Raw genomic sequence first — 10,896 nt, 5'->3', positions numbered from 1 at the left:
AGTGTTAAGAGGGAAATTTATAGCACTAATTCCCCACATAAAAAATGTAGAAAGATCTCAGATTAACAACCTAACATCACAACTAGAAGAAGTAGAGAATCAAGAGCAAACCAATCCCAAAGCTAGCAGAAGACAAGAAAAAAAAAAAGAGCCAAACTAGAAGATTAAGACACAAATCCATTCAAAAGCTCAATGAATCCAGTTGATTTTTTTTGAAAAAATTAAAATAGGCCACTAGCTAGACTAATAAAGAAGAAATGAGAGAAGATCCAAATAAATATAATTAGAAATGACAAAGGCGATGTTACCACTGACCACAGAGGAATACCTCTGTGAAAACAAACTAGAAAACCTAGAAGACAGATGAATAAATTCCTAGACACACGCTATCCCAAGGCTGAACAACAAAGCACTTGATTCTCTGAACAGAACAATCATGAACTCTGACATTGAACCAGTAATAAACAGCCTACCATCAAAAAAAAAAAAAAAAAAAAAAAAAGCCCAAGACCAGATAGATTCACAGCCAAATTCTTCTAGATGTACTAAGAAAAGTTGATGCCATTTCTATTGAAACTATTCTAAAATATTGAGGAGGAGGAACCCTCCTCAACTCATTCTATGAGGCCAGCGTTGTCATAATATTAAAATCTGGCAGAGACAAAGGAAAAAAAGAAAACTTCAGGCCAACATCCTTGATGAGCATCCACGCAAAAATCCTCAATAAAATACTTGTAAACCAAATCCAGCAGCACATTAAAAAGCTAGTCCACCATGATCAAGCAGGCTTCATCCCCAGGATGCAAGCTTGGTTCAACGTATAAAAATCAATAAATGTGATTCATCACATAAACAAAACTAAAGACAATCACATGATTATCTCAATAGATGCAGAAAAGGCTTTTGATAAAATTCATTATTCATTCATATTAAATACTCTCAATAAACTAGGTATTGAAGGAACATAACTCAAAATATTAAGAGTCATCTATGACAGATCCACAGCCAACATCATACTGAATGGGCAAAAGCTGGAAGCATTCCCCTTAACAACTGGCAAAAGACAAGGGTACTGTCTCTCACCACTCCTATTCAACATGGTATTGGAATTCCTGGCCAGAACTATCAGGCAACAGTAAGAAATAAGGAACAACCAAATAAGAAAAGTTGAAGTCAAACTAACCCTGCTTGCAGATGACATGATTCTGTATCTAGAAAACCACATAGTCTCAACCCAAAAGCCCCTTCAGCTGTTAAATAACTTCAGCAGTTTCAGGATACAAAATCAAAGTACAAAAATCACTAGCATTAGGCTGGGCACGGTGGCTCATGCCTGTAATCCCAGCAATTTGGGAGGCCGAGGTGGGTGGATCACTTTAGGCCAGGAGTTCGACATTAGCCTGGCCAACATGGTGAAATCCCATCTCTAGTAAAAATACTAATATATATTTATATCTGGGTGTGATTGTAGTAGCACATGCCTGTAATCTTAGCTACTTGGGAGGCTGAGGTAGGAAAGTCACTTGAACCCTGAGGCAGAGATAGCAGTGAGCCAAGATCATGCCACTGCACTCCAGCCTGGGTGACAGAGCAAAACTCTGTCAAAAAACAAAAACAAAAACAAAAACAAAAAGATACTAGCATTCCTATATACCAACAACAGGCAAGCCAAGAACCAAATCAGGAATGCAATCCCATTCACAAATTCCATAAAAAGAATAAAATACCTAGGAATATAGCTAACCAGGTAAGTGAAACATCTCTATGATGAGAATTACAAACACTGTTCAAAGAAATCAGAGATACACCAAAAACGGCAAAATGTTCCATACTCATGGATAGGAAAAATCAGTAACATTAAACCATTCTGCTCAAAGCAATGTACAGATTCAGTGCTACTCCTATCAAACTACCAATGACATTCTTCACAGTACTAGAAAAAAATATTTTAAAATTGATATGCAACCATGAAAGAACCCAAATAGCTAAGGCAATTCCAAGTAAAAGGAACAAAGCTGGATGCATCATAGTACCTGACTTCAAAGTATACTAAAGGGCTACAGTAGCCAAAACAGCATGCTACTTGTATTAGTCCAATCTCAAACTGCTATGAAGAAAATACCCAAGACTGGGTAACTTGTAAAGGAAAGAGTTTCAATTGACTCACAGTTTCACATTGCTTGGGAGGCCTCAGGAAACTTGGAATTATGGAGGAAGGCAAAGGAGAAGCAGGCACCTTCTTCACAGTGCAGCAGGACAGAGTGAGTGAAAGCAGGGGAAATGCAAGACCCTTAAAAACCATCAGATTCTATGAGACTCACTCGCTACCACCAGAAGAGCATGGGGCAAACCACCCCCATGATCCAATCATCTCCAACTGGTCCCATCCTTGATACGTGGGGATTATGGAGATGACAATTCAAGATGAGATTTTGGGCAGGGCATAGCCAAGCCATATAAGTACTGGAACTAAAACAAACATATAGACCAATGGAACAGAATAGAGAAGGCAGAAATAAGGCTGCACACCTATAACAATCAGCTTTGATAAAGCTGACAAAAATAGGCAATGGGGAAAAGACTTCCTATGCAATAAATGGTGCTGGTAAAACTGGCTAATCATATGCAGAGGATTGAAACTGGACCCCTTTCTTACACTATATGCATAAATCAACTAAAAATGGATTAAAGATGTAAATGTAAAACTCAAAACTATGAAAACCCTGTAAGACTACCTAGGCAATATCATTTTGTACATAGGAACAAAGAGTTTATGATGAAGACTCCAAAAGCAATCGCAACAAAAGCAAAAATTGACAAATAGGATCTAATTAAACTAAAGAGCTTCTACACAGCAAAATAAACTATCAACAGAGTAAAGAGGCAACCTACAGAATGGGAGAAAATATTTGCAAGCTATGGATCTGACGTAGGTCTAATATCCAGCATCTATAAAGAACTTACACAAATTTACAAAAAAAAATTAAAAAGTGTGCAAAGACATGACCAGACAATTTTTCAAAAAAAGACATACATGTAGCCAAAAATAATATGAAAAACAGTTCAACATCATTGATCATTAGAGAAATGCAAATCAAAACTACAGTGAAATACCATCTCATACCAGTCAGAATGGCTATTATTAAAAAGTAAAAAAATTAACAGATGTGGGACAGGTTGTGCAGAAAGGGAATTTTTATACACTGTTGGTGGGAGTGTATATTAGTTCAGCCATTGTGAGAAGCAGTTTGATGATTCCTCAAAGAGCTAAAAACAGAATTACCATTTGACTCAGGAATCTCATTATTGGGTATACACTCACAGGAATATAAATTGTTCTATTATGAAGATATATGCACACATATGTTCATTGCAGCACTATTTATAGTAGCAAAGATGTGGAATCAAATGAAATATCCATCAATGGCAGATTACATAAAGAAAATGGGGTACATATACATCCATGGAATACTATGCAGACATAAAAAAGAATGAGATCATGTCCTTTATAGTAACAAGGATAAAGCTGGAGGCCATTATCCTTAGCAAACCAACACAGGAACAGAAAATCAAATATTGCATGTTCTCCCTTATAAGTGGGAGCTAAATGATGAGAACACATAGACACAAAGAGGGGAAAAACAGGGACTGGGGCCTACTTGAGGGTGTAGGGTGGGAAGAGGGAAAGGATCATAAAAAATTACTATTGGGTATTAGGCTTCGTACCTAGGTAACTAAATAATCTGTACAACAAACCCCCATAATATAAATCTACCTATATTACAAAACTGCACATGTACCCTAAGCCTAAAACAAAAGTTAAAGAAAGCTTAGATATAATATTCACTTACATAATAAACTGTTACAACTGTATTATTTTTCCAAAATTAATGGTAAATTGCTCCTCTCAATCCTATGAGTTATGTAAAACAGATAAGAAAAGTTATATCATATTATATTTTCTTTCTCCTAGAGTAGAAAACTAGTATACAATTCCAGATCTTCTGACTACAAACTTATCCTCGCTCTAGAGCTTACTGCTTCTCTCATGTAATGTCAACAAGACATTGAATCTTGTTTTTAAATTTATATCAACTTTTGTCTATTAAAGTTTAGTTAGCACTATAATAATGATACAATATTTTCTTAAAACTGGGTTCATTTCTTAACACAATACTGATGTCATAGTGTAGGTTACATTCTATATGTCAAAGATTTGTTTAAGTTTATGTGCTGATGTTTGGCACAATAATTGAGACACATTTTTTCATGGATGAATCAGAAAGCAGAATTTCTAGTATTTTCCTTGAATTCTAACTTTGTCAAGAAAAAGGAAGGTCAGAATGTCATACAGACTTGAACTTAATGAGAAACTGGCCAAAGACATGCTTTTAGCTCCATCAGGTCAGTTTTCTCAGTGACCAATTAAAATAAAAATAATAAATTTATAATGAAGACAGTTTAATTTGCATTGTTTACCTTTGCAGCTAATGTAAATTAACTCTCTAATTTTTATGTTTCTGCTTTTTGAAAAATATAAGCTGATGCTAACACTTTTGATATCTGACTACAGAATCCAATAAATGGTTATGGCTTTCAGTGTGTGGAGATCTTATCCAGACATCTTCTCAAAGTCATAGGATCTGGGTGAGATCATATCTATTCTGTTGTATTGGAATTTTATCTTGACACTATGGTTTCAAGTCAGTTTATCTTATTTATCTTTATTTTTTAAGGATCATTTTTCCATATTGTTAAGAATAGACTGAAAGAGGTGAAGGGAAACAAATGAAGACTTTTTTGAAGGTTATTGAAGTCTTCCAGGTAAGAAATGCTACTTGAATAGAGTAAGAGTTGGTCCAGTTTGGAATGTATTCTGAAGGAAGAGCCAAGGTTTAATTCCTGGGGAATGTGATGTGGCATATGGCAGGAAAAGAAGACTGAACTTCTGCCTTGAGCAATGAAATCACCAAGGGGGAAAGCAGATTTAGGGGAATGGAAGATCATGGTTTAATTTTTCATGGGTTAATTGGTTCTCTCTGAGATGCCTGCTAATCGTCAAAGCATGGATATTGAACTGGCACACGTGGGGCTGGAATTCAGAAGGGAGACATACTGGATGTATATATTTGGGAATTGTTGGCAGAGATTGTATGTAAAGCTGTAAAACTGGATGGGATCATTAAGTGTATGAGGCTACCTAGAAGAGAGAAAGCACAAAGGCAGAATCCTAACCCTAACCTTAATGCTAGCCCTACCGCTAACTACTGAATGTTTAGAGATTGGAGGAAGAGGGTGAACCAGTAAGAGAGAGCTAGAGTAACAGCAAGGCAGCAGGGAAGCTGAGAGAGCATGTTGGAGTCTTGCAAGCCAAGCGAAGGAAATTCATTCAAGCAGGGTGGAGTGAGTGCTGCTGAATGTATATTGATGTGGAACTGAGAAGGGAAAGGAAGAGCTAATTTAGTAAAATGAAGGTGTAGCAGTTACCATGTACGGGTGGAGGTGAGAGCAAGTTGAACAGATTCAAGAGAGAATGAAATAATTGAAGAGAATGCATATTTTACAAGAAGTTTTGCTGCTAAGGGGAGCAAACAAGAAATGCATGGTGAGAAAAGCAAGGTAAGAGAAAAGACTTTTTTAAGACAGAAAAATAATCGTCCTTACATTGCATGCTATTGGAATTGATCACTGTAAAGTAAAATAAGTTGTGATACAGTAGAAAGTGGAAAAAAATTCTAGAATGCCAAAAATAATATTATAGGAAATTTTCACCTATTTAGCAGATGAAGTTATTTTGTTTTCTTTTTTAAGACACTTAACCTGGGTTAAAAATAAATTTTAAAAGACTATTCTTTTCTCTTAAATAAATAATGTACTTCAAATGGTTCCAACCATGTTCTTCACAAGCTAATGTCTCCTTTTTATTTAGTCTGTTCCTTTGTAAACAAAGCTATTTAGAGCTTTTTCAACCCTTTCATATCCTCATCAAAGTGTCTCTTTTGACTCTCCTATACAAAGACTCTATAGCAGTGCTATTACTGTGATATAAACTTTAATTATATCTATTGACATATTTGAGCCTACTAACAAAAGAAAAGAATAGGTAAAATAAATTGTGGAAACATACTTTTCATTGGAATGAAGGGTACATTAATATACTTTCCCCAAACTCCTCATCTGTTTTAGATGCTGGTTTTAAATTGTGGTTTGAATTAAAAAGTGCCCACTAACTTTTAAGTAAATAAAAGCTAATAAAAAGTCCTGCTAATTTTAATTTATTTCAAAGAAAATAATACAAGTTATTTTGTAGATAAAAGCCCTTAATATTTCTTTAAAATGGATTTCAATGTTTTACATTTTTACTCTCTAATATAATAACGAATATCTTTAATGCACTTTTTATACTATTGACTACCTCTGTGGAAAAAAACAAAGATGTTTACACATATTTTCTCTAAAATTCTATAAACTTAGTTTATACAAAAAGTATTCATTTGGTTCTTTTTATTTTTTGAGACGGAATCTCCCTGTGTCGCCCGGGCTGGAGTGCAGTGGCACCATCTCGGCTCACTGCAACCTCTACCTCCCGGGTTCAAGCAATTCTCCTGCCTCAGCCTCCCAAGTAGCTGGGACTACAGGCACCTGCCACCATGCCATTTGGTTCTTATTAGATGTGAGTGATTGAGCTACGTGCAAGAGATACCAGGTGGTTTCATGATTTGAAACCATTGTGTTTTTTAAAGTGTTATGTGACAAGAATAGAAATAAATAGTTTTTCCCACAAATGGCATATTTCTTTTGATTGTTAATTTAAAATTTTACTTTTTTTAATAGCTGAGGGAACAATAATGCTAATGTCCTCATGAAGATGGCAGAAGTAGAAGAAAGATAAAGTAAACCAGATTAGAGAAATACTATCAAATTGTTTGGAAATAATCTTTTCTAAGTAGAGGTTCAAGTTCTCTTGGTAAGTTAGTGGATGTCAATATTCGTATACCAATGTTGCTAACAAAGTATTATCTACTTCTTGAGAAAACCTGGGGAAAATATACCCCACATGCATTTATAAGAATGTTTTATGATTTAAACAATAAAGTTGTATCTTTAAATTAAGGTAATAATAACTTAGGCCTTAAGTTGTTGTAAGGCTATGACTACTATGAATAAGGACAAATTTTTAATCGTTAGAAACCAGGACAAAAGATAAGTGGAGCAATATTTCTGCCTTCAAACTTATGAATCATAAATTAATGAATAGATTCAAAGTAAAAAGAAGAAGCTAATTAAATAATGAATAATGGGAAAACTTAAGAGGCCATATAAAAATGGCTGTTTTTGGAAGGTGTCTAATGGAAAAAAGTTGAATACTTCAAAAAAATAGCTTGTGAATGATTTTACACAAAAGAGTAATATGCAAAGTGCTATATAATTTACAATAATTAACAGATTATTTGGTCTAAAAACTTGATGCTATATAAAAAATCAAAGCATAAATTAAACATGCCATGTTGTTTATCAGGTTTAATGCTGATGAAAATTAATTTAACTCAGACACATTTATTTTTTAAATTAATTTTGAGAAATTTTGTGACTGAAATAAATTATTCTGCTGAATTTTGTATGCTTCTATAAGATTGAGAATTTTCAAAGCAAAATTAAGTAGACAAAATAGGAAATGCATTCTCATAAATTATTTTTCTTATCAATAATTCATTGGTCTCTGTACCATTGCTCATTATTAGTTGTTACTGGAGAAATTATTAATTACTTTCATAAAATTATGGAAACAGAAAATATATGAAAATGTGCTTATGCTTATACATGCCCAGTGAATGGCCCAGTTTTATAACATTGGTTTCCGTCTCTGAACATTTATTTTTATACAATCTCTTTGCCAGATGTCTTTGGCATATGCTAAATATTTTAGTAATTCATTCAAAGAATACTGCAAAATCAACACTGTTGACCTATTTGGTCTTTAAAAGTAGGAGCTAAATTTTGTCGAATATAATTTGAAATAAATTATAAAATTGAGCATTTTTAAATAACGTAAAGAAAACACAGAGAGAAATCTGGAAAGATTTTCTGTCTTGAATGAAAACAACACTTTAAAAATGTTACAGCAATTTGGTGGAGATCTTCTGCTTAAGGATAATATTAAGGAGAATAATAGACAATTAACATTTCTTTCACTAATTAGTAAAATGTTTCTAAATGGAAATTCACTTTTGTTTAAGAGACAGGCTGTGGCTCTCTTGCCCGGGCTGGAGTGCAGTAGCATGATCACAGCTCAATATAATCTCAAACTCCTGGGCTCAAACAGTTCTTCCACCTCAGCCTCTCAAGGAAATTTATATTCTTCCACACACAAAAGAAAAATTAGCAAAATGAAGCAAGTGAAATAAATCCAAAAATGAAGAAACAGATGTGTAAGCAAATTGTAAATATTTTATGTTACCTGGAGTTCTCCAGAGAAACAGAATCAATGGGATATGTGTGTATATATATATATATATATATATATATATACATATATATATATATATATATATATATATATACATATATATATATATATATATATATAGAAACGTATCTTAAGGAAATGGTTCATGCAGTTGTGGAAGTTGGCAAGTCTAAAATCTGCAGGATAGGCTGACAGGCTGGAGTTTCTGGGAAGAGCCCATGTTACCATTCACATCTGAAAGCTGTCTCCTGGCAGAACTACTTCTTGTTCAACGTGGGTTAGCCTTGTTTTCTATGCAGACCTTCAATTGATTGGGTGAGGCCCCACATGCATTATGGAGGGCAATCTTCTTTACTCAAAGTCTACCAACTTAGATGCTAATCTCATCAAAAACATCCGCGCAAAATATCCAGAATAATATCTGATCGCATATCTACACACTGTGATCCAGCCAAGTTGACATGTAAAATTAACCATCACATATGTGATATGAAGGTAATTCTAGAAATTATATTTTAGCAAATAATGTTAAGGTCAGCTTTGTATGTGATAATTAAATATTACTTTAAAACAGAATTCACAATAGTAATTTATGGGGGGAAATCACAGAGAATTCTGAGGTTAAATCAAAACCTTATTGGTGAATTATATTCCTTTTTAAAAAAAAATCTTTATGTGGGCTACAGCCTTCTGATGAAGAAAATCTAACAAAACGTATTGGAGACTCAAATCTCACTAATTATGGGGTCTTAAAATTGCCCAACAAGTCCTTCTCTTAGTCTACTTTGTATGCTCTCTTTTCAGCAACATTTTCTAAGTAATTGCTTCTTTTTTTTTGTTTGTTATTTAGTTTTTATTTCATAATCATAAACTTAACTCTGCAATCCAGCTAGGCATGGGAGGGAACAAGGAAAACATGGAACCCAAAGGGAACTGCAGCGAGAGCACAAAGATTCTAGGATACTGCGAGCAAATGGGGTGGAGGGGTGCTCTCCTGAGCTACAGAAGGAATGACCTGGTGGTTAAGATAAAACACAAGTCAAACTTATTCGAGTTGTCCACAGTCAGCAATGGTGATCTTCTTGCTGGTCTTGCCATTCCTGGACCCAAAGCGCTCCATGGCCTCCACAATATTCATGCCTTCTTTCACTTTGCCAAACACCACATGCTTGCCATCCAACCACTCAGTCTTGGCAGTGCAGATGAAAAACTGGGATCCATTTGTGTTGGGTCCAGCATTTGCCATGGACAAGATGCCAGGACCTGTATGCTTTAGGATGAAGTTCTCATCTTCAAATTTCTCCCCATAGATGGACTTGCCACCAGTGCCATTATGGCGTGTGAAGTCACCACCCTGACACATAAACCCTGGAATAATTCTGTGAAAGCAGGAACCCTTATAACCAAATCCTTTCTCTCCAGTGCTCAGAGCACGAAAATTTTCTGCTGTCTTTGGGACCTTGTCTGCAAACAGCTCAAAGGAGACGCGGCCCAAGGGCTCGCCGTCGACGGCAATGTCGAAGAACACGGTGGGGTTGACCATGGCTAATAGTACACGGTTTTCCTCGGCGGCGGCGTCTGCAAAGCCAAGTAATTGCTTCTTAAGACGCCATCCTACCAGCACACCTTCAGTCTTGCCTTCTAGTCACAGAGAAAATTACTGCCATCAAATAAAAATACCTTGTTTTTTTATGCAGATCTTAACTGGACCTAATATACACCCTTCTGATACTGCTTTTTTATTTCTTGTAACAATGAGAAGAATTCTCTCCTTCTGTCAGAAGCCAAGTTCCACAGGTGCCTCCTGGGCAGCATTGCCTTTTACCTTTGCAAAAGATCTCATAATACAATTCGATTACTTTTCCTGAATTGTCCGCTTCATACTGTTTTCTTTCCATCTATACTGAAATATGTTTATGGTTCTCACATACTTACAAATATAACCTACCTTGGATATACATCTTACAGCCATGGCCGTATCATTTTTTGCCCAATTGTATCTTCAAAATACTTGAAAAAAAATGTACAATTATTTCCTTCACTTTCTCTCCTCCATCTTATTTCTCTATAGTCAGTTTTCCAGCTTCCTATTGGACATATTCAGTGATCTATTCTGCAGACACCTAAAAGCCAGCTGTACTGGATTGAATAAATGAAGTAACTTTGCTGCAAAATTCATTAATCCTTCTCTCACGTTCCCTAACTCCAATCAAAGCATCACCCGTTACCAGAGTTAATATCCCAGCGTCAACCTGAAGTGTTTCTTTTTTCTTATCCTTAAATCCATTTGGCTGCTACACCTGATTGATTCCGCCTGTTAATTATGTCTATCTCAATACTCACAGTCACCACCCTCATGCATCACGTCTTGCCTGGACTATTGAATAACTTCCTAACTAACCTCACCATCTAATGGAGATTAATTTGTT

At 35.2% G+C, this 10,896-nt stretch overlaps 1 pseudogene; it reads right to left on the bottom strand.

Moving 5' to 3' along the window:
- Positions 1–9,312: 9,312 nt before the first annotated feature.
- On the bottom strand, positions 9,313–10,052 carry PPIAP22 (peptidylprolyl isomerase A pseudogene 22; annotated as a pseudogene).

This window comes from Homo sapiens, chromosome 21 (assembly GCF_000001405.40).
Source record: "Homo sapiens chromosome 21, GRCh38.p14 Primary Assembly".
Taxonomy (NCBI): Eukaryota; Metazoa; Chordata; class Mammalia; order Primates; family Hominidae; genus Homo; species Homo sapiens.
Note: the sequence above shows the minus strand (reverse complement) of the source record. Positions and strands in the feature narration are given on the sequence as shown.